At 41.6% G+C, this 24922-nt stretch overlaps 1 long non-coding RNA gene and 1 pseudogene across 1 annotated transcript, besides 2 other annotated features; both read right to left on the bottom strand.

Moving 5' to 3' along the window:
• Positions 1 to 3111: 3111 nt before the first annotated feature.
• LOC124902231 (uncharacterized) lies at positions 3112 to 23962 on the bottom strand. Its single transcript, XR_007061691.1, has 2 exons — positions 23856 to 23962; positions 3112 to 3356 (listed from the first exon to the last, which is right to left on the bottom strand). It is a non-coding gene; the product is annotated as an uncharacterized LOC124902231 (long non-coding RNA).
• Positions 12065 to 12294: an enhancer, noted in NCBI's record as "active region_28708". NCBI's record gives its function as "activates an Ori minimal core promoter by ATAC-STARR-seq in GM12878 lymphoblastoid cells {active_cell/tissue: GM12878}" and the evidence as "EXISTENCE:reporter gene assay evidence [ECO:0000049][PMID:35858748]".
• Positions 15049 to 15548: an enhancer, noted in NCBI's record as "H3K4me1 hESC enhancer chr9:102068645-102069144 (GRCh37/hg19 assembly coordinates)". NCBI's record gives its function as "activates a minimal SCP1, AML or CMV promoter by ChIP-STARR-seq in naive H9 embryonic stem cells {active_cell/tissue: H9 hESC(naive)}" and the evidence as "EXISTENCE:reporter gene assay evidence [ECO:0000049][PMID:30033119]".
• Positions 15060 to 16827, bottom strand: KRT8P11 (keratin 8 pseudogene 11; annotated as a pseudogene).

Below are 24922 nucleotides of genomic sequence, written 5' to 3'. Positions count from 1 at the left end.
GCACTGTCTCCATGGTGTTGTACGCATTCTCTTCCAGAGCTGATCTCAATATCTAACCATGAACTTCATCTTTGTACCCATCTCTCCAATTCCCCAGCATCTCCTAGCACTACATCTGGCACAGAGGAAGAGCTGGGAGTAGGCAGAATGATGATTAATATGTTACTTTACATGGCAAAAGGGAATTAAAATTTCAGATGCAATTAAGGTGGTTAATCAACTGACCTCAAAATAAGCGAGATTAACCCAGTGGGCCCAATCTAATCATATGAGTCCTTAAAAGTGGAAGAAGAGGCAGAAGAGAGGGGCAAAGTGATGCAATGTGGAGAAGGACTCAACCCACCATTACTGGCTTTGAAGATGGAGGAAGAGGCCATGAGCCAAGAAATGCAGGTGACCACTAGAAACTGGAAAAGAGGGGAAAATGGATTCTCCTCTAAAGCCTGCAGAAAGAATACAGCCCTGTCAACACTTTGATCTTAACCCAGTGAGACCTGTGTCTGACTTCTAACTTACAGAACCATCAGATAATATATTTGTGTTGTTTTAAGCCACCCTGTTTGTGGAAATTGTTACAGCAGCAATGGAAAGCAACACAAAGTTCAATAAATATTTGTTTAATTAATCTGTTGTAGTGATTTTTAATCATTTTATTTCTAAAAGAGGTATTATATCAACTCAAATCTCACAGAGAGTCGTATTTAGAAACATTTTCTTTATGGAGATAAGAAGAAATATAAATTTTCTTTCTTTTCATTCATATATACATTCAAACAATTTTTTTAAAGCTTAAAGAAGGAGAGAAGTTCATTCACAACCTCACTGAGATCTAACTACTTTCATTTTTTCTTCTTTTCCATCCCTGATTGTAGGTGCAAATAATTTTACTATTAAAGTCATAGCAGAAATATAGTTGAATATTCTTTAATATTTAATATTGCATGATAAATATTTTCTATAGTTCTATTGTTTTCATAATTGCCATTGTAATCATTGCTTTATATTATTCCATTAAGTCGGGACACAAAAATTTACTTCTGTTCCTATTCCATGAATCAGTTGAGTTGTTTCAAGCATTTTTCCTTATACTTTAAGAAAATATTAGACCGGGCACCGTGGCTCATACCTGTAATCCCAGCACTTTGGGAATGCATTGCTTGAGGTCAGGAGTTCAAGACCAGCCTGGCCAACATGGTGAAACCCTGTCTCTACTAAAACTACAAAAATGAGCCAGGTGTGGAGGCACACACTGGTAATCCCAGCTACTCAGGAGGCTAAGGCATGAGAATCCCTTGAACCCAGGAGGCAGAGGTTGTAATCAGCTGAGATCGCACCACTGCACTCCAGCCTGGGTGACAGAGTGAGACTCCATCTCAAATTAATTTTTTCTTCATTTAAACTTTTCTGTTGAATTACCTGCAAAGCAGATTTCCATAATTGGAATAACTAAAAGAAAGAATCAGAGTGGCAGCTCTGGCTCTTGAAGCTCACTAAGGTAATTCCAAGAAGACTGGAGAGGAGTTTTCTAGTTTCACAATTATTTTTGTCAGGATTTGGGGTCTAGAATAGTTGCTTATATTGCATTGCATTGATTATGATTATGAAATGTATAAATGCATTTATACATTTGTTATTTTATTAGTTATATATTTTTAGAAAAATATGCTTATAGCTTTTGCTCATTTACCTATTAGAGACTTGATTATTTTCTTATAAATAACTTTTTAAATACTCTTTAAAAAATGTAAATCTCAACTTTCTGTCAAATTTATATACATGTTTTGTGATCTAGTTTGCTTTTCAATTTTAGCTACACAGGTTTGCATTTGTAGTTTATTTGCTTGTGTCATTTTTTTAGGAAAAATAAAATCAAAATATCAAAAACAAAATGAAAATTTATGTTATCTGAACTCTGTAGTGGATTAGGCAATTCAGAATAAATCTAAAAGTTTGAAATTGAATATTATATGAATAATCTGTATGGTAGCTTTCAATTTTAGTCTGATAGCGCATTATATAATTTATAACACAAATATAAATTTATTATTTGTTACAGAACATGTAGCTCATTTAATTTTTGTATCTCTTGACAAAGCTATAATTTGAAAACAAGCAAAGTCTATTTTAAAATTAAATTAATTCAGGGCAAACTAACCTCTACTTTTTTTTCTTAACATGTTTTTCTAATTCCAAAAGTAGTATGTGTTTATTTTACAAAAATTAAAAATGACAGAAAAGAATTTAAACATAAATAAATTTCAACCCTGTGCTCATCATACAGAAATACCTCCTGTTAACACTGAGGTGTATTCTTTCAATCTTTTTGCAAACTGTGTGTGTATAAAAATATTAATTAAATTTTGATTAGGCTATTTTGCATCATTTTTTTTACCTAATATTTTCGATGAGAGTTCTTCCATTTTATTAAATACGTTTGAACCAATTGGATAATGAACTCTTAAAGGAAGTTTTCTCATTCCTTAGCAGAAGAGTGAGTCCATTTTTTTTGCCCTGGATTCTGAGATCAAGTTCATTGAGACTCCCAGGAATAGCCAACCACAGAAAGAGATGCCTGTTGTGGAGAACCAAAGCTTTCCCTGCGGCAGCTCTATGTCACACACCCCACCAACTCTGTCCACCTCCCAGAAGTCCATGCACATTGTGTTCTGAGGTGCTACTTATTTTTAGGTAATGTTTTGCTCCTGCTTCTGCAGCTGTTTTTAATCACAAGCCTTGGGCACTGCATCCTAAAGAAACTCTGGCAGAGACAAAGGTGAAAAGAAGGAGGGAGAAGGACATGTCCAAACATCTTGGACATGATATTGACAGAAAGGGAACTTATCCCCATAGAATTTCACATTTATTACTGTGCCGTGACAGAAGTAGTAGAGGCTGCAATACCAGACAAGCCTTGGTTGGAGTCCGCATCTCCCTCTTAATTGCCAGTTGAGTGACCTTGGAGAAGCCACTTAACTGAATTCCAATCTTCTCCATATAACAGTAAATATGCCAAGTTGTAAGGGTTCAATGACTATGTAAAACTGCCTTTTAAACTATAATAACCATTCCTGTACCTTTAGTAGAGAGGAAGAGGGAGCTTCTGAGGCATCCTTCGTATGTTCCTGTTATTTATTAGTTATAGATTTACCAGTTTACCAACAACAAAATAAACAAGGTAATGCTAGCAGCTGTAACAAATTCCCAAACTCCAGTGGTTCAATACAATAAAAGTTTTTTCATTCAGGTGAACATCCAACACAGATATTGACAGTTGGTGGGCCACCTTCTGGGAACCCAAACTCTTTCCATCTTGTGGTTCTGTTCTTGTCTCCTAGGGCTTCAGGGTCCTCTTCATTCTGTCAGCAGACGAGGAAAATGAAAGAAGAAAGAAGACACACACTTATTTCTTAACCACCACAGCTAGAAAGTGACATTCATCAATTCCATTCACATTCCCCTGGAGAGAATCCATTTCATGGTACACCTTACTTCAGAAGAAGCTGGGAAACACAGCTCTAAGTTTGGTGAGCAGCTAGCCAGCCTGCCACATATACAAATATAATTAATAGAAGAAAACACAGCTAAGTCTTCTCTTAATGTCGTCTATAGGTTCTTGGAAACTGTGACTTTAAGCAAAATGACATACTGTATGCTGTAGCAATTTAACTCTTGTTTATATCAATTAGTCTATGGTAAAATTGGTTCTATCACACTGTACATCATTTTGCTTAAAGTTGAAGTTTCCAAGAACCTATCAATGACATTAACTGAGGATTTACTGCATATGCCAAGAATAGATGCTAAGATTGAGCATTATCCATAGTTTGGGCTAAAAGTGAATCCAGTGTTTCTCTTTGTGACCTTTCCAGCATATTCTGGTAGCCTTATTTACAGGGGTCTTCAGAAGACTACATTTGTTGATGCGCTTCTTCGTTGATTATTCATTCATTTGTAAAATAATTTGTCAAGCACATTCTCTGAGCAAATAACTTATACCCAAGAAAATTGACAGATTGGGTGCTGAGATCTCTCCCTTTGCTGTGGGGAGGATGTCGAGACCCCTTGCTTCCTCTCTCAGACATGCTGCAAGCGGCCGAGAAGAAAGCCGCTGTACTCGTATGCCTCTGCTCCATTCTAACACAGGACACAGATTCTGAAGTCTAGCTGCTGGCTCAGCTCTAGCCTCTGACTCTGATTAGCTGTGTGGCCTTGGGCAAGTTTTCTATCCTCTCTGGACCTCTGCTTTCTCATCTGTACGATGAGAATGAATGAGGGCGAGTTTGTAAAGCTCTTTGGCACAGTGACTGGCACACAGCGAGGGTCCTATGCATTAACTCTACGACCACGATCACTGCCTCCTGCAATCCACCCACACTGCACGCAGATCTCTAACAACCCCCACTTGAATGTGCAGGTTGGAGAATTGGACGAAGAATTTGTTATTCAAGTAAATAACTTTTCCCGAATCCACTAACTGTGAAATCTGCCAGTGAAGATGTGCGAAGTGTGATTATTTTGATGACGGAAAATTGGAAAGAGAATGCTCTAAATCATGGTTTGCCAATTCGTTTCATAGAAAAATATAATATTAATAGATATTTATTAAATGATCATTAAGCCCACTCTTGTGCAAAGTGCTAAACTGAATTTTTTACATGTTCGCTTTCACTTAATTCCCACAGTAACCCTGTGAAATGGCCATTATTCCCTATTTTACAGAGGTGAGTAGCGATAACAACCAATATGAGGATCAAAGGGGCTTAAAATTTGCCCAAAGTCACACAGCTGGTCAATAGTCAAGTCAGGATTTGAGCCCAGGGCTGTCCAGCTCCAGGTTTTGCCCTGCTCACTGGGTGCGCTGCCTCCTGGGTTCCTTTAGTGAGGCTCTCTCTTGGGTATGGCAGAAAAGAGTCACAGTGTTCACATAACACTCTATCATTTTCAAATGCCGTGTTTATGTTAAATCCTTACAGCACCCTGTGGAATAAGGGAGCCGGAATTGCTGACCACATTTGAGAATGAGGAGAAACTGAGACACAGGGAGGCCCATCAGGTGTTTCGTGAGGGAGTGGTCAATAACAGTAACAGCAACATTTACTGAATGCTAACTACATGCCTTGCATAGCAATAAGTACTTTATATACATTTCACATTTAGTGACCTTAAAATCTCCATGAGACAGGTGCCTTATTATCTTCATTTTACATATACAGAGACTGCCACTTATATATTGGAATCCTATGCCAATCAGCTAGCATACAATGAAGGAGACCAAAAAAAAAAAAAAAAAATTCAAACCTAAAGCAACTGAGAAATTTTGTCTCCCATGCATCTTATCTGGGCGGGGGGGCAGCATTTATTAATACATATTTCCTGAGCATCTACTTTGTGATCTACATGCAGCAGTGCCCAGGCAGACAATTCCCCTGAGCATGGAGTGACAACTTATTGGGAAAAAACAGATAATAACAAGGAAACAAATTGGTCAATAACACACTTTCTGATAGAAATAGTACCACAGAGGACATAAAGCAGGCCAAAGGAGCAGAGAATGACAGCAGGTGACTAGTTTAGATAAGGTGGCGATAAATTCAGGTGCCTGCATATTAATAAGCATCCAGCCACACAAACACCTCAGGGAAGGAAGTCCAGGCAAAGGATATAGTAAACGTATTGGCTTTGAAGTGTGACAAAGCCTGACATGTTTGGAGAAGAGTAAGATGCCTAAGGTGGCCATAGATTATAGTTAACAATGAAATGACATTAGAGATGAGAACAAGGAGAATAAGAATCATCAGGGAGTGGTGGCCAATTGTCACTTGCAAACATAGAGGCAAACATCCTAAATTATAAATATTAGCAAATAAAATCCAAGAGTATATTAAAGAATACATTTTTTTTCCAAGGAGAGCTTAGCCCAGGGACGAAAGACATTTCAACATTAGAGAAATTCATCCTACAATTCAGCACAGAGATTAAGGAACATTAATTACCTCAATAAATACAAAAAGCATTCAATAAAGTTCAACATTAAGAATTAATTTCTTAGAATCTCAGTAAGTCAGAAATAGAATGCAAGTTCCTCAACATAAAAAATGGCTGTCTATCAGAAACCCTCAGTAGTTAAATATTTAATGGGGATTTCTTAGAAGCATTCCCACTAAAGATAAGTGCAAGACAGAATTGATTGCTGTCATGGGTACTAGTCATTAGTGTTCTGGGGGATCAAAAGATAAGAAAATTAGAGATATAAAGATTGGAAAGAAAAAAACAAACTTTTACTCAGTGCAGATGATTGCCCACTTAAAAAAAATTCAAGCCAGGCGCAGTGGCTCACGCCTGTAATCCCAGCACTTTTGGAGGGCAAGGCGGGTGGATCATGAGGTCGGGAGATCAAGGCCATCCTTGCTAACATGGTGAAACCCCGTCTCTACTAAAAATACAGAAAATTAGCCGGGTGTGGTGGTGGGCGCCTGTAGTCCCAGCTACTCGGGAGGCTGAGGCAGAATGGTGTGAACCCGGGAGGCGGAGCTTGCAGTGAGCCGAGATCGCGCCACTGCACTCCAGCCTGGGCGACAGAGCAAGACTCAGTCTCAAAAAAAAAAAAAAAAAAAAAAAAAAAATCAAGAGACACAACTGAAAGCTATTAGAATAAAAAAGTTCAAAAAACTGTGGATAAGCCCATCAATATAATTCATTCAATAGGCTTCCTATATACCCGTACTAATTAATCTAATAATAATTCTAAGGGATTCCATTTACAACAAAAAATCTGGAAAATAAACATAATTTTTAAAACATACAAGATCTATTTAAAGATAACTAAAAAATGTACTTAATGATGTGAACCTAAATACATGAAGTAATAAACTATATTCCTGGTTGGGAATTTCAAGACTTAATATTGAAAATATACTGATTTTTCCCACATATATCCATCAATGCAATTTTGATCTAAATTCAATAGCATTTTTAATTCGGGTCTTATCCTACCAGATCCTACCAGGTGTCAAAACACATTGTATGCTGTAGTAATTAAAATGGTCTATTATTCATACAGACATTGATAAGCTGATCAATGGAACAGAATTAAAAACCTAGAAACCAACTCAAGTATATATGAAAATTAAGTATACAATAAAGATGGTAGTTGAAATTAATGGAGAAACAATAGACTAATTCACAAGTGGAAGTGAACCGATTAGCGATTCATTTGGGAAGAAATTGTCTTAGATTCCTAATTCACACCATCCATCCCCAGGAAACAACTTTTAGATGAATTAAAGAGCGAAATCATAAAAATATTAGATGAAAACATTGGTGAAGAAAACTGGTAAATATTTTTTTAACTTAGGGTGGCGAGGTCTTCCTAAGCAAGAGACAAAACCCGGGAACTGTAAAATAAATGTTTCCCAGCCAGACGCAGTTGTTCATGCCTGTAATCCCAGCACTTTGGGAGGCCAAGGTGGGAGGATCACTTGAGGTCAGGAGTTCGAGATGAGCTTGCCCAACAAGGTGAAACCCCGACTCCATTAAAAACACAGAAATCAGCTGGGCATGGTGGTGCGCGTCTGTAGTCCCAGCTACTTGGGAGGCTGAGGCAGGAGAATTGCTTGCACCTGGGAGGCGGAGGTTGCAGTGAGTTGAGATGGTGCCACTGTACTCTAGCCTGGGCGACAAAGCAAGACTCTATCAAAAAGAAAGAAGAAAGAAAGAGAGAAAGAGAGAGAGGAGGGAGGAAGGGAGGGAGGGAGGGAGAAAGAAGGAAGGAAGGAAGTAAAGAAGGGAGGAAGAAAGAGAGAGAGAAAGAGAGAAAGGAAATAAAGAAAGAAAAGAAAGAAAGAAAGAAAGAAAGAAAGAAAGAAAGAAAAGAAAGAAAGAAAGAAAGAAAAGAAAGAAAGAAAGAAAGAAAGGAAAGAAAGAAAGAAAGAAAGAAAGAAAGAAAGAAAGAAAGAAAGAAAAGAAAGAACGAAAGAAAGATTGGTTTCCCAAATTTAACCTCATAAAAATTGTAAAATTCTTTAAGTTAAAATACACCATAAGGCAGGTTTAAAAGTCTGGGAAACAATACTTGCAACATACTTAACAGGTAAATGATTAATATATGGAGCATATGAAGAGTTTCTAGGCTGGGCGCAGTGGCTCACGCCTGTAATCCCAGCACTTTGGGAGGCCAAGACGGGTGGATCACGAGGTCAGGAGTTCAAGACCAGCCTGGCCAAGATGGTGAAACCCCGTTTCTACTAAAAAACTACAAAAATTAGCCAGGAGCGGTGGCAGGTGCCTGTAATCCCAGCTATTCGGGAAGTTGAGGTGGGAGAATCGCTGCAAACCAGGCAGCGAAGGTTGCAGTGAGCCGAGATCGCGCCACTGCACTTCAGCCTGGGAGACAGAGAGAGGCTCCGTCTCAAAAGAAAAAAATAAAATAAAATAATAAAAAAAAGAGTTTCTAACAGGAAAAAGACAAATCCTCAGAAAAATTTGAAAAGGAAATAAACAGGCAATACACAGAAAATATACACTCAATGAGCATGCAAAGCTGCATATCACAGCTGGTGAGAGAAAAGAGAATTATTTGGTAAAAAGTAAAAAGATAGATGTCAAGTGTTGGTGAAAATGTGAAGAAAGAGACATTCTCCAGGCCCATTCTGTGTGTAAACTCATGAAGTTAACCGATGAAGTCCACTTGAAAACGCCCATCAAATTTTAAAATGCACATATCAATTGACCTGACCCTTCTACTTCTAGGACTTTTTCCAAAAGAAATACTTGTTTGTGTGCCCCACACAACATCTTGTACATGTATAAAAGAATTTCATCACAGTATTGTGTGTAGTAGTAAAAAAATTAAAATCTTCTAGCTTACTGTCAATAAGGAAGGCAATAGTTAATTATGGTATATTGATTCCATCCCAGGCACCTCTGATTCATCATTCTTGCAAAAGACTTCAAGATTCTCTCCTATCATTTATGACATTGGCGTGCACACTTCCTCGTTATAGACAAGTCAATGATATAAAACAAACAAGGCCTGAGGTGTCTGGGCAGGCTTTCTGAAGGCATGTCTTCCTTACATACTTTGCCTGGCTTACCACCCCTCCACTGACCACCCCCCTACCCCCAACCCTCCTGTAGCCTAGATGGAAAAAGAATTTAACTTGTAATACAACCTCAATACATGGGAGTCTATTCATCATTCCCTAAATAATTACAAGCCTATAGGAATCAATACTTAAGACCCCAAAATAAAATTCAGAATTGCAATATCACTATTTCCAGTATTATTAAAATAACTAGCATACACAATCTTTTGAAGTTATCAAGTACTTCCAATCTAGTATTTAAATGATTTTTACAACATCCCTGTGAGTTGTACAAGACAAATTGTTATCCCATTTCATAAGTAAGGAAACTAAGGTCCAGAAAAGGAATGTGATTGACCCAAATCCCATAGCTAATAATAGGCAGAGCCAAGATTGAGTGTTGGCTTTCTGACTGTGAAACATCTGCTCTTTATACATAAATCCAGCTCATGCCAATATAATTAGTAATATCCCATTTATCCAGATTCTAACCTGGTAAATTTGATGCTCAGGAACATTTACCCTCACCCAGAAATGCCCCTAATGCCCCTGCAGCAGCCCCCAGACCAACTCTCTCAAAGTGTCCCCATGGAGCCAATTCATTTTTTCAGGAGGCCCTGACTCAAAGGCTTTTGCCTCTAGTCCAGGAAATTGTTCCTAATCAGACTCATGGGTTCCCCTGCCCCTGAAAGATCAGAAATAGAGAATTTGAGTGGGTGGGAGTGGGGGCAGGAGGAACCTTTAAGAAGCAAGCTGTGCTATTCTCACTGTTTTTACTCAAACATGAATCTTTGTTCTCCGATGCAAATTTTGAGAAGTTGGTGCCAATCTGCTCTGAACAAAAGAATTCTGGTCTGAACAAACAAAATTTGGGATGGGAAGTCTGGCTTTCCTAGTTGCGCTTTTGACCATCTGCCTCTACCCACCACCCACCACACTGGATCTCTCCCAAAGGTGGCAGTGAGCTTTGAGGAAAACTTCCCAGCTTGCTTACCAGTAATGGAAGTCAAAGAGGTCCAAGGGTATCAAATGTCAAGGTTGCTAAAATAACATCCTTACAATGCTTAGGAGGTTGAACCAGTTGACTCTAAGAGCCTTCCCTCCACACCTCAAAGACCTTAGTTAGGGTCCCATGAAAGAGGGAGGCCTTGATTTCAATGGACATTTATCAAAGGCCTAATCCTCTACTTCCTCTAAATAAAATTTTCTGTTGGCTTTGTGCATATAATATTGTATTAATGGTATTATTTTAAATATATTTTTTATTAAGCAAATAATTGTTTAACAAAAGTGTACTTTTCCTTGTTCTCATCTCTCAGCTATATACCAAAAAACTGTAAATGGATTAATTTTTTTTCCACAATACTACATTGAATGTTATAAGCATTAGTTCCAATTGACATAGATTTTTAAAGTAATTTTAGTAGCTGCATATTTCATTCCATAGTTATACCTCAGTTTATTTAACAGGCTATTATTGGATATTGAATTTTTTCATAATTTTATCAAAATTATAAATAATGCCTCTATGAGGATCTTTTTGAATAGGTCTTTATTTTCTATTGAATGATTTACTTACCCTAAAATTCTAGGGGGAAAAGTATTGGATTGCAGGATATATGAGTATCTTTGTAGTTCTTCCTAGTTTGGGCAAACATTTAAAATGAAAATCAGTCCACCAACCTCAGTATTGGACATTGACTTCAATTTTGCTGCTGTTAATCACTATATTTGTAAGGTTTTTTCACAGTTTAATATTTTCTTCCTCTATCCTTTGTTTAGTTGTATCTACCTTAAAACAGCTTCACTTATCTTTCTCACAATCATAAGGACAGGGGCATTTTAAAATGCGCTTGTGTGTGTGTGTATCTCATATTTATGTTCAGTTGAAAAAAATATGACCCAGCAACTCATATGGTAAATATGAAATAAAGAAGTCAGCCAACCTGTATATCTGCCACTTTCAATAATGGATTTTTCTCTGGAGTCAAAGGAATGAACCTTTGTATCTAAATGCCTCCTTCACTGATTCCATATGCCCATATGCCTGAAGGGAGTCAGCATGGTTATTAGAAAAAAAAAAATCCAACCCCATCTCAGCCCCATTGAATCAAAATATCGAGGAGGGACATGAGCATCTGTTTGTGTAAATTGGAGTTGGGCTGGATTCTAAGTAAGCATCCTAGGTGATATTTGTCAGCAGGGACGTTTGGAAACACCTGGTTGAAACCTTGGGACATTGGGTGAAGATCACAGGGAGTCAGATTTCTAGTTACCTGAGAGAATTCCAAACAGTCAGACCTACCTACTGGTAGGGGAGGCAACTTATTACTGGGAGGCAACTTATTCCTGTCAATGAAGTATTTGTTTGGAGACCAGATTATCACAACCATCCCTCAGGAAGACTCCTTTTGAATTTGGGAGCATTCTCTGACCATGGCACCAAAACTCTACAGAGCATCTCCTATAAGCAGGCAGAACTAGAGGCCTTTAAGTGTCTTTTCCACCCTAGCACTGCTTGATTTCAAATAATAAAAAAAATAGTTCACTAATGTAGCTTCAGTATTTTCCTATTTATCTCTCCATCTCTCCAAGAAGATATAATGTAATCTTTTGATCTGTAATAGAACTGGAAAGTAAAACTATCTTTGACTCATAATACTCAGGATACTCTAGGTCTTTTAGCCACCTTCCCCTTTGATGTTCAAATCCCTGTTACGACACCCCAGTAAGTGATCCTCCAGCCTCCAGTGAAGACTTGGTGACTTAGTGCTCCCTAACTCCATAACGATCCTTTTGTAGGACCATGAAAATCATCATCTTTACCAACAATGTACACAAAGTGCCATCAATTGCATAGGGGGAGGGAAAACTGAGTCACTGGCATAGCGGAGGCCAGAGTTTTGCCTCTTGATTCCTAAGCGCCTTTCTGTGGGTTCAAATGGTTATATCTGTTTGGGGTGTAAAGGAGGTCAAATCTGGGAACCTGTTCTCTAAAGAAATAACCACCAAAATGCTGTGTGTTGAGCCCAAACATGTATAGATTTCAACCTCCTTGAAACTCCTCTTACTTACTCATCATTGCACGAAATGGGCAGTGAACTGTGAAGATCTGTGAAACATGGGGGGAGGGAGGTGAAGAGAAGGGAGGGGGTCACAGCCTGTACCCATCCTCCTCAAAGCACCATCTGCACCAGCAGCAACAGCATCCCCTGGGATGTTTGAAATGCAGAATCCCAGGCCTCAGCCCTACAGAATCAGAGCCTGCATTTTGACAAGGTCCCCAGGTGATCTGCAGGCACAGCATACTAACATTATATGACTCATAGAGATAAAGAACGTTATTTTATATTTTTTTCTGATTATAAAAGTGGTAAAAACTCATATTAGAAAATTTGGAAAGCATCCCCCCCATCCCCATTTGGATCCTTGAGAGAAGAGGAAGGCGGCTTGCATGGGGGCGTAAGTAATCAAGCTCTTACACTTGGTGATTACAACACCTCTCCCAGGTCTTTCAGTAATTAAGAGAGCAGTTATGTTAAGTCCAATATGACTGGCCTGGGGTAAGGTGGGCGGCAGAGTGGAAAGAGGAATGAAAGAATTACTAGTATAACTCCAAAAAATAACATGGAGTACTTACAAATTTGTGGGCAGGTAGTTTGTAAACCACAGTGCAGGTAGGAAAATATTTCTCTTCTTGCCCATGACTTTCATCTGGACTGATGCTAAGCCTTGGGAGAGGGGTGCTGGGAACTATCCAGATCTGTTAACTCAGCGGAGCCAAGTGCTGCTGAGGAAAGGCAAGTGGGTCTCCCAGGATGGTGGAGATATGAAAGGAGGTGGTTAAAGAATGATGGTGCTCTTTGAGAGATGAGGACAAGGAAGATCAGGGTCAGGAAATGGGATCTGCTTCACTTCCCTAGAAGGTAGTGTATGAAAAAAAAAGCCAAACTCTGTAAAATATTTGAAGAGATTTATTTTGAGCCAAATGTGAGGACCACGACCCAACACAGCCTCAAGAGGTCCTGAGAACATGTGCCCAAGGTGATTGGGTTACAGTTTTGTTTTATACATTTTAGGGAGACATAAGACATCAATCAGTCCATGTGAGGTATACCACACATTGGTTCAACCTGGAAAGGCAGGACAACTCAAAGCAGGGGCTTACAGGTCAATGGTGGATTCAAGGATTTTCTGATGGGCATTTGATTGAAAGAATTCAGTTATTATCTCAAGATCTGGAATCAACAGAAAGGAGTGTCTAGGTTAAGATATGGGGTTGTGGAGACCAAGGTTCTTATTATATAGATGAAATCTCAAAGGCAGCCTCCCTTAGAGGCAATAGATGGCACCTTTAACAGGTGCTAGACTCTCAGCTAATTTCTACAGGATCAGAAAAAGACCTGGAAAAGGAAAAGAATCTCTACAGAATGTAAATTTCCCCCACAAGAGACGGTTTTGCAGGTCCCTTTCAAAATATGGCAAATAAATATATTTTGGGGTAAAATAGCTTGATACTTTAAACAGCCTGCTATCTGTCATGTGATATTATACAAGAGTCAGGTATTAGAAGTTGGTGTCTTATTACTACAAAGAGTCTGTTTTGTTGGTCTTAAGATCTCTGTTTTAATATTAATGCTGGTCAGTTGTGCCTGAACTCCAAAGGGAGGCGAGCATAATGAGGCATGTCTGACCTGCTTCCCGTCATGGCCTGAACTAGTTTTTCAGGTTTCTTTGGAATCCCATTGGCCGAGAGGAGGGCTCCATTGAGTCCACTGTGGGGTTTTTTGTTTGTTTCTTTGTTTACAATAGGAAAAGCAGACACTGAGCAGACCTTTGAATCATTCTCTTTGGCGGGGGTTGGGAGGACTCCACTGACTAATCTGTATCCCCATGGCAGAGGCTGCAGTGAGGAGAAGCCTACAATCAGAAGAGGTTGTCTCCACACTCCAGCCTATCCCATTTCCTCCAGTCTCTAGAGCTAAGGAAGTAGCCCAGTTAGCCTAAGCTCAAATTTTTTTGTTTTGTTTGTTTGGTTGGTTTTTGAGACAGGGTCTCTGATGCCCAGGCTGGAGTGCAGTGGTGCCATCAGGCCTCACTGCAGCCTCGACCTCTGGGCTCAAGCAATCTTCCTGCCTCAACCTCCCGAGTAGCTGGGACTACAGGTGCAAGCCACCAGCCTGGCTAATTTTTGTATTTTTTGCAGACAGGTCTCGTCATGTTGCCCAGGCTGGTCTTGAACTCCTGGGCTCAAGCAATCCACTGGCCTTGACCTCCCAAAGTGCTGGGATTATAGGCATGTGCCAACATACCCAGCCCACCAAGCCCAGATTCCATACACAATGTTCATAATTTATTCAATTAATCGTGTAATATTAAAATTCTCCCACACAAAGTCCCTTGAAAACATTATTTTAAAGATGGTATCATTACCATATTTTATTTAAATATTTCCCATTATTGGAGTGTTAGGCAATTTCTCTTTTTCACCACATATATGATGCTGTAATAAACATCTTTATCCACATAACCAATGACTTCCTTTTTCATCTAGGGAAACTCTCTTAAAATCAAAGTGAACCATACATATGGAAAAGTGCAAAAATCAAAAGAACACAGTTTAATGACTTTTCACAAAGTGAATACCTCACAGAACCACCACCCAGATCAAGAAACAGAATATTGCCAGAACCCAAGGCCCTTTTGTGTCTCCTCAGAGTAATACTATCCTAATATTAAGCACCATTAGATTAACTTTTCTATAAATTCAAACATACATTATATTTATATGGTTGCTTATTTGTCTTATAAAGTATAAATACAAATATAAATTATATTTATATATTTACTAATATATTTCATACTTACATATATTTATGTTTTAGATACATTTTAATGTATTTTATGTCATCTATATATAAATATATATTTGAATTTTATACAAATTCAAGTATAAAATTGTGCAGATTTTTTTTTCAGAGCTAGCTGAGGTTATTTTGGACAACAACAACAACAAAAAAAGCAATTGAATTGTTTTGTAGCTGGAGGCATGGGCAAGGAGGGTGCCCCAGGGAGTGAACTCCCCCCAACGTGGGCTGAGGGCGAGGGCTGAGCCTGAGGTGGATCTCCTGTTCCCTGTGCTTCCCTCACAGCGGCCTCCCTCCCCCGCTCTGGGTCAGCCAGGAGGGGCAGGCGGGGTGGGGCTGCCGCAGCTGTTCACTTGGACAGGACGTCAGAGGACTCGGACTCCAGCTTGCCATCATGGGTCTCGATCTTCCTCACAACCACGGCCCTGGTGGAGCTGGTGCGGCTGAAGGAGCTGGAGCCCGCGGCAGAGCCAAAGCTGGAGCCCAGGCGGTAGATGATGCCGGGGCTTGTGAGGCCCCCATAGGCCGAGCTCAGCCCACCTGCATAGCTGCTGGTGGTCTTCGTATGGATACTCACGTTCTGCATCCCAGATTCCAGCCGGCTCTCCTCGCCCTCCAGCAGCTTCCTGTAGGTGGCAATCTCGATGTCCAGGGTAAGCCCGACGTTCATCAGCTCCTGGTACTCACGCAGCTGCCCCATCATGTCCTGCTTGGCCCGCTGCAGGGCGGCCTCCAGCTCGGACAGCTTGGCGTTGGCATCCTTAACAGCCAGCTCCCCACGCTGCTCGGCATCTGTGATGGCGGCCTCCAGGGAAGCCCTCTGGCCTTTGAGGCCCTCGGTCTCAGCCTGGAGCCAGCTGATGTTCCGGTTCATCTCGGAGATCTCAGTCTTTGTGCGGCTTAGGTCATCCCCGTACTTCCCAGCCAGCGTCTGCAGCTCCTCATACTTGATCTGGTACATGCTCTCAGCCTCAGCCCGGCTGCAGTTGGCAATCTCCTCATACTGCACCTTGACCTCAGGGATGATGCTGTCCATGTCCCGAGAGCAGCTGTAGTCCATGGACAGCACCATAGACATGTCGGAGATCTGGGACTGCAGCTCCCGGATCTCCTCTTCATACAGCTGCCTGAGGAAGTTGATCTCGTCAGTCAGCCCTTCCAGGAGGGACTCCAGTTCTGCCTTGTTCATGTAAGCTTCATCAACATCCTTCTTGATGAGGACAAATTCATTCTCCACCTCCGTATGCTTATTGATCTCATCCTCATACTTGTTCTTGAAGTCCTCCCCCAGCCCCTGCATGTTGCCAAGCTCTGCTTCCAGCTTCAGCTTCTCCTGGCCCAGAGTCTCCAGCTGCCGCCTAAGGTTGTTGATGTAGCTCTCCAACATGTTGTCCATGTTACTCCGAGCCATCTTCTGCTGCTGCAGGAGGCTCCACTTGGTCTCCAGCACCTTGTTCTGCTGCTCCAGGAACCATACCTTGTCGATGAAGGAGGCAAACTTGTTGTTGAGGGTCTTGATCTGCTCCTTCTCCTGGGTACACACGGCCTGGATGTTGGGGTCCACCTCCAGGTTAAGGGGGCTCAACAGGCTCTGGTTGACCATGATGGCGATGATGCCTCCCATGCCACTGGCCCCACCATAGCCTCCACCCAGGCCACCCCGAAAGCTGCTGCTCCCCACTCGGGAGCAGCTCAAGGAGCTGATGCAGACGCCAGGCCCACTCACGTAGGTGCAGCTGCTGAAGGCCCAGGGGCCAGAGGACTTCTGGGTCACTCTGATGGATGTGATGGAGGCAGGAGTCGAAACAGGCAGGCTGAGCCAGGTGGATATTCCAGAAGGAGTAGACATGGGGCTTTTTTTATGAGATGGGGTCTCACTATGTTACCCAGGCTGGTCTTGAACTCCTGGGCTAAAGCAATCCTCCAACCTTGGCCTTCCAAAGGGCTGGGATTACAGGTGTAAGCCACCCTGCCTGGCCTAGATTTTGCATCTGGTTCCTTTGCTCAACATTGTTTGTAAGATTCATCCATGATGTTTTTCTTGTAGCAATAATTCATTTTCATTGCTGTATATTATTCCATTGGGTGAATACACACAACTTTTCTTTTGTATTTTGTTCAGTGTTTCTAGTTCTTAGCAGGAGCATTAGGCTGCTATAGGCTACTCAACCATGGCCAGAAGCAGAAGTCCACTTATTTATTTTTGTTAAATTCTAAGAAGTAGAATTCCTGGGCAAAAAGAATATTTTTTAAGCCATTGATGCACACTGCTCATTGTTTTCCACAAAAGCTGTGACAATTTATACTCAGGAAAAAATCATGAAGTTCTTCTGAGGGATGAGCATCAAGAGTCATCCTAATAATAACAAAAAGTTTTAAATCTTACTAATCGTATTTAATAGTGTCAATATTGTATTAAGGCTGTTTCATATATAAATTATAAATATTAAAATGCTGGTATATTTCATAAAGTTTTTTGTGCCAATTTATTACTTAATTCTCACAAAACTCTGAGGGGTAAATTTTATTGCTGTTTCATTTTAAAGATGAAGGAACTATGGCTCAGAAAAACTGAAGTGTCCTGTCTATGTCACCTGACTAACGGCCAACAGATAGTCTTCCTTACCCATGGCAGGCTACACCTTGCCTAAATTGCTAAAGAAGCAGCCCAGATTCTTCAGGCTAAAATAGGTACCAGGGAGAAGGACATGTCGCCCTTTTGTATGGAAATGAGCATCCTTCAAAGCCCAGTTCAAATGGCAACCCCTTTCCCAAAGGACTCTTCCCTCCCTACCCACCCTATTGGAAGTAATACAACCACAACTTCCTTCTGGAAGCCACACCCCTATACTGGGAAGGGGCCCTTGCCTACAAGATCCTGGAATGTCACTGCTGAGATCATTTAGTCCAGGGATTACAAATAGGGAGCACACACCAGTGAGGCTCCCTGCTCCCTTGTCAATGGCAGACATAACAAATCAATCACCATCTAGCCACTGTCTCCCACGCTGAGTCCATCTGAGACCATCTCACCCCCAGCTACCACGCTGGCTTTGTCTCTGTTCCTTGTGCATGCCAAGTTCCATCCCACCTTGTGACCCACACATTGGCTGCAGCCAGATCTCCTCATGACTGAGTTTTTCTTGTCCTCTCAGGTCTCAGCTCAAATATCATCTCCTGCTGATCCCCCCAAATCTAAGGTAGCATCACCTTCCCTGATTTGTCTTCTCTTATGATCATTTTTAAATTTAATTTATTTAGCTGTCTGTTTTTATAGTTGTTGTATCCTGAGAACTGAGCCTCTTCTAAGTAGTTCACCTATTCCCCAGCGCCTGAAAGAGTCCCTGGTACTCAGCAGTTGCTCAATTAGTAATTGCTGAATGAGTGAGTTAATCAAGACGTGATTTTCTGCTGAGTCCAGGTATGACCTGAAAAGCCTTCCCATCACACTGTTACAGCCATTCGCTACCAGGAATCAGAAGTAAAATGTGGGATAAAATATTTTTGCCATGGCTAACTTCCTTAATTCCCCATTTTACAGATGGGAAAACTGAGGCCCAGATAAGAGACTTGCCTTTCCCAAAACTACAGAATGAGGAAGGGGCAGAGCTAGGACTGACACCAGCTCCTCCCACACCCCCATCCTTCCTGCTCCTCCCCAGCACAGGGAAACGCCGGAAGAGCTGTCATAATGGCTCAGCCACAAAGTAGAGGATCCTGGCCACGGAGCTCTGGAGCTTGCCTATGAATTACGCACCTAATTACCAGCTGCCTTTTTTTTTCTATTCTGTGGGTAAAAGTCGATCACATAGAAGATTCTCCCTGTGTTTCCGTGGATACCAAGCAATCTAATTTCAAACTCCCTTGCAAATGGCAAGTGAGTGAACTTAATTTTAATAAAAACAAGGAAAATCATACGTGTGAGCTTAATAAAATCTAATTTGGGCAATTTAGAGCTCAGAAAATAAAGCCTTTATGTAAAAACTAGCAATTAGCTTTATGAAACAATACAGTGAACCTTAGCATAGGGGAGAGTTGGGAGCTGGAAGACTCGAGGATAAGGAAATGTGGCAATAATATAAGAAAGCTAAAGGGGCAGGGATCCTGGTTCCTGGGGTCAGAGGGTTCAAGTTCAAGTACACAAGCTACCACTTCTTAGCTCTGTGACCTTGAGAGAGTCGCTTTTCCTCTCTAGATCCTATTGTCTAAACCCTAGTGTCTTTGTTTGTAAAATGAGGTTAATAAAACTCCTTGACCTAGTAGAATGGTTGTACAGACAATAAGAAAACAAATAGGCAAGAGCTTTGTAAAAGTGTCCAGCAATTGTTATCTCATCATTTGTCCCATCTAACATTCTTTCCAGCAAAGAAAGAAAAGAAGGCTAGTGGAGCCTATCACCTGGATCGGGGATGTAGGATGGAGTGGTGTTACTGGAAAGGGGTCCTTATCCAGACCCCAACAGAGGGTTCTTGGACAAGAAAGAATTTGGGGCAAGTCCAAAAACTAAAGTGAAAGCAAGTTTAAAAAAGTAAAAGAATAAAGGAATGGCTACTCCATAGGCAGAGCAGTGGTGTGGGCTGTTCGACTGATTATACTTACAGTTATTTCTTGATTGTATGCTAAATAAGGGGTGGATTATTCATGAGTTTTCCAGGAAAGGTGTGGGCGATTCCCGGAACTGAGGGTTCCTCCCCTTTTTAGACCATATAGGGTAACTTCCTGACATTGCCATGGCATTTGTAAACCATCATGGCACTGGTGGGAGTGTCTTTTAGCATGCTAATGCATTGTAATTAGTGTATAATGAGGAGTGAGGACAACCAGAGGTCACTTTCAACGCCATCTTGGTTTTGGTGAGTTTTGGCCAGCTTCTTCACCGCAACCCATTTTATCAGCAAGGTCTTGTGACCTGTATCTTCTGCTGACCTTCTATCTCATCTTGTGACTAAGAATGCCTAACCTCCTGGGAATGCAGCCCAGTAGGTCTCGGCCTTATTTTACCCAGCCCCTGTTCAAGATGGAGTCCCTCTGGTTCAAATGCCTCTGACAGTGGGGGTAGAGGGCAGGTATGCAAACTTCCACATTCACCTTGCATTTAGATGTTGCAGACCTATGGCACACTGCCAGAGGTGACTCCCAGAAGTGGTTTACAGGAGCCAGAAGCAAATCTCCAAGTCAGAGTGAGCCTGGGGGAAGACCTGAGGCTCTTGACATGTAATCACTGTAGCCCAGCACATCTGCACCACTGACAGGTCCCCTTTACATAGAGATCTCTACAGGTTGTATTATTCCCATTCTACAGAGGAGGAAAATGAACCACTGAGAGACACAGCAGCTAAACTCAGGTCACACAACTAGTTGACCCAGCCAAGACTCAGGCTAGGTTTCCTGATTCCATCCTCCAGCCCGCTTACCAGCACCTCTCATGGTTACTAAAGCAAGTGACTGTGAGAGTGAGAACCTGCTACATCTGTTGTGTCCCTTCTTCCCTAAGGGCATGTGCAGCTTCTATCAGAGTTGCTAGGAGCCACATCCGCAAAGAGCGTGGTCTTCATCACACATCACTCCAGAAGCAGTGGCTTTTCCACTCCAGGCAGAAAGCAATTTTTTCCTAGTGCCTTCCCAGAAGCAAAGTGGGTAATTAATTGCACTGAATAACACATTAAATGTACTAATAATTGGGTAGTCACAGCAAAATGATTACTTTGAAGAAATATTACCAACTCCCTGTTGTACTTAACATTTCTCCTTATTTATCATTACCATTTTAATCAATAATAGTCACAATACTAACAAATCCATCTTAATTTTAATTGTTTTCAATTTGATGTACCAGTACTTGAGTATTCTGAGCATACTTCATTATTTATATTAATTTAAGAACACTTAAAGGCAAATTACGTAGTTTGTACTTTCAAGTAGGTAGGTAATTATGACAAAGTTTCTCTAGATTCAGCATTTTCATGCATTGAGCAGTGTGAGGTGTCAGGTGTCTGCCCATTTCTGATAGGCTCAAGGGTCAGGGATGGAGAGGATAAAGGAAGACTCTCAAAGCCTCCACTTGAATTAGCATATTCTGGCCTTTTAAAAGAGGTTTGGGTCCCTGAAAGTATGATTAATAGCTCAATGGCTTTGCCTTTACTTATGTTGTCTAGCCTTGAATGCAGCATTCATCCATTCATTCACCATCGCCCAGGGCCAAATACTGCCCTAACACCAGAGACAGAAAGAGAGAGTGAGAAACTTACTGTGAGAAAGGCTGGCCATAGTCAACAGTTGGAATAGGTAAATAACATGTGACTGAAGGAATCGAGGAGTGCTTCTGGGAGGCAGAGGCGTTTTCCTTGGTCTGGAAGGGTGGGTAACATTTGTCAGGGAAGTGACGGAGTGGACTCCAGCTTTGATAGAAAGCCAGTTAGGAGGCTCTGGCAGAATGGGGGCTTTTCAAGGTGACACTGGAGCTAATGACAGAGAAAGTTCAGAAGGAAGAACCATGGCCAGTGTAAAATTGACCCTTGGATATGGCTTAGAGTGGATGATTGGGAGTTAGTGATGCCAGAACGGAGAAAGAGGGAAGCCAGGAGGAGGAAGCCAGGTGGAAGAGGTAAAAAGATGGGTTTCTTAGGAAATCACTAAGTTCTGAGGGCCATAGAGTAGCCAGGAGAGAAATCTAGCAGGTAAAGTGGAGAAGCTGGCTACAGCCCAGAGGAGTAGACAGCCCTGGAGAGAGGGTCTGGAAACCCTCTGGTAGAGAGTCCCATGGGTGAGAAGGGTGACAGTCACAGCTCTTGCCTCTGTGGGCTTCACTTCACAGGTATGTATAAACTGGCCACAGCCTCACAGATTTCAAGCCCCCTTGGAGGGCCCAGCCAAGAAAGTTTCTTCTCCCCTTCTCTGTCCAGCGCCAGCATAAAGGGCACATCTTTTTGAATCAAATTGTACTGAATTGAAATTGCACACCTGTGTTGTCAATGGCCCTGTTTTGTGAGGACATCCTGCTGCCTGAAGGGGAGGATGCAGGGGCTAACATGACTCAGAGAAGTCATGCTGATAATGTGGAGATTAACAGCAATGGATGGGTCTGTGTCTCCACTCTGCATGGCTGGGGTATCAAGGTCCTGGCACCAGCAATGATTTGCTAGGGTGTTGCAACTGGTGCTAATGATTTCTAGAAACCTAGAAGTTATAGGAGGGGAATTTAATGGGAAAGAGGCTCCACCTCCTGGTAATACTCAAAACCAACATTTCTTCAGCGCTTTACAGTTTATAAGCTTCTGTCAGCTTTTAAAATCTCATTTAATTCTCTATCTTGATCTGGGTGGTGGTTACCAGCTGCACATGTATGTTAAAAAAATCATTGAGCTTACAGTTAAGATTCTTGCACTTCAGTCTATGTTATACTGCCATTTAAATTGTGTAAATAAATACACGGATAAATAAATAACCTCTTATTTAATTCTTCTAACCATCCTATGAAGTTAGCAACTTTGTTATCCACAAGTGAAGGAACCTGAAGCTGAATGACTCACCCTGGATGCTGGGCTGATGAGTGAAGTGACTAAGCCAGAATGGACTGGCATGGATTCCTCTGGTGCAATTTGAATAACAGGGATTATAACATCAACAGGGCTTGGAAGGACTGAAGAGGGAGCAATCATGGTGCCAAAGGGCCCTTTGGAGGTCTGTGGGGATGAGATCTGCCGTCTCCACCTGGCCCTCCCTTTCCCTGGGACACAGGTTTGACTTGGGCAGATATCTTTCTAAGTGCACATTTTCTATTGAACCACAACTCAGGGACAGGGAAAGTTCCAGGAGTCTGCATCTCAGGAGTCCTCCACGTTGTTCCCCATTGGTCTCTCAAAGTCCCCTTGGAAATTTGCTCAAAATGAATAATACAAAGTAAAACCATCCTGGCGTTGTCAACAGGTTAGACTTCATACCTTCCTGTTCTTTCAAAAAGGAGCCGCTAACAAGCACCAGAATCTACCTGGCCCTTGGACTTCTGAAAGGGAATAGGAAGCCTGTCCTCCTTCCTGCCTGTGGAAAACAGTCTCTTAAAACAAACAAACAAAACGAAGACAATAGCCTGTGACAAGTAGAAGAACATGCAAAGTGGGAATCCCAAGCAGAATGTAACCAACTCCGCTGGGAGTGTCCAAGGAAGGCTTTACACACAAGGGGTGTGACTCGATTTATGCTTCTAAGCATAAATGAAAGTTTGGTGAGCGGAAAAGAGGAATATGCATTCCAGGCACCAGGAACAGCGTAAGCAAACACCCAGAGGCAAAAGCATATCAGATGAGGTTGGGGAGAAATCATGGGTACTCAGAAGGGCCCGGGAATCTGGTTCCTTTCTTTACATACAAGAACTCCATTAAGGTTACCCTTGTGCCTCACGGATTACAGAAGGGTTGGAGTAGAAGTGCCTCTGGTCTCAGTGGACCTTTAAAAAGGTTTGCAATTCAGATGTGGCAGCCTTTTGTTCTTGTCCTTATGTCCATGAACTCCACAGGACTCAGAAATTCTTAAGTTCAACCCCACAAAATGTTAACGATTTAGCTTTCTCTTGGCTAATCCAGTTTGCAGCCTCCCCATATTCCTCTGCTTAGCAAAGCCCATCCTTAGGAACCTGACCTCCTCCAAGTTTCCAGCCCATTCTCAACTTAAAAGGAGGCAGAGTTTGGATATAGTATTTTCCCTGTGCCAAATAGCATAGTAAATTCATGCTTAACATATTTGTGTGCAACATGCATTTGAAGAATCTTCCAGAAACATGTTCTAGAAACAAGAGACTGCCAATAGCCAGGCCCTGATTTGCCACGCCCTGGAGTGGAGCTTTCTAGTAGAGCCATTCATGCAGTTTCTGGTCCTACCTTTGATATTCAGAAACTTTTTTCTTTAGTACCTGAGAAAATTAATCCACTCCATTTCTCTCCAAGTTTCCAGCATCAAGATGGGATTGAATCTCTGTCAGGTGTCAGCTTTCAATGTGATGAATGGGCTCTTCGTTTCTGCCTTCACGTCTGGAAGGTCCAGATCCCCAACTGGGATGACTGATCCACCTGGGGAAATGGCATTTGACAGACCCACAGCTTCCTGGGGCCACTGAGGATAAGGTTGCAGACAGGGCTCCGGACAGGAAAAAAAAAAATTAACATCTTTTTGCTCAATCTGGATGTCATTTGAAACAATACTCTTCAAGCTCTCTACCCTGGGGATTTATTAAGTTATCAGTAAGCAACTCTGAAATAAACCACACTCATGGCTTTATGTTCTTTCCCTGCCCCACCCCCAACCCAGACTTCTCCTCCACTTAACCTGTTACATTCCAGGTAGGAAAGAGGGAGGACAGGACCTGTGGTCTGCAGATCAGAGTTCAAATCTCCTCTCAACCAAGTTTATTATTATGTGGTTTCAGGCAAAACTCTCTGAAGAGCCTGTTTTCTCACCTGCAAAATGGATGTGAAAGCACTTCCCCAGGGTTGATTTATTTATTCATGTATTATTCCTCTAATTCACTGTATGCTTCTGTGCCAGACCCAGTTCTAAAGGCTGGGAGTACAGAGATGACTCTCACCTGCCCCCCACTCTCTGGAGGTCAAATGAGAGAATGAATGCACCCATTGCTTTGTAAATTACACGACACCATGCATCTTAATTATCAGTCCTACTACAGTGGTCTGACACTCAAAATGCTTGTAATAGGAAATCACAACAATGACTAAGAGTGAAGGCTTTGGCACAAGACCTGGGTCACTTACTAGCCGTGTGTCTAGCATAAAATCCTTAAGCTCTCTAGCCTTGGTTTTTCATCTACAAAATGGGAACAACAACAGCTCTTTCCTCAGAGGGCGGTTTGAAGGAGTAAATGGAATAACGCACCTGAAATCATTTAGAGAACTGGCTGGCACTTATAAGTGCTCGACAACTGTTAGCTATCATTGTCATACTCATTCTCATTAGGATGATAAT

This window comes from Homo sapiens, chromosome 9 (genome assembly GCF_000001405.40).
Source record: "Homo sapiens chromosome 9, GRCh38.p14 Primary Assembly".
NCBI lineage: Eukaryota > Metazoa > Chordata > Mammalia > Primates > Hominidae > Homo > Homo sapiens.
The sequence above is the reverse complement of the archived record's forward strand: the minus strand, read 5'-3'. Positions and strand labels throughout refer to the sequence as shown.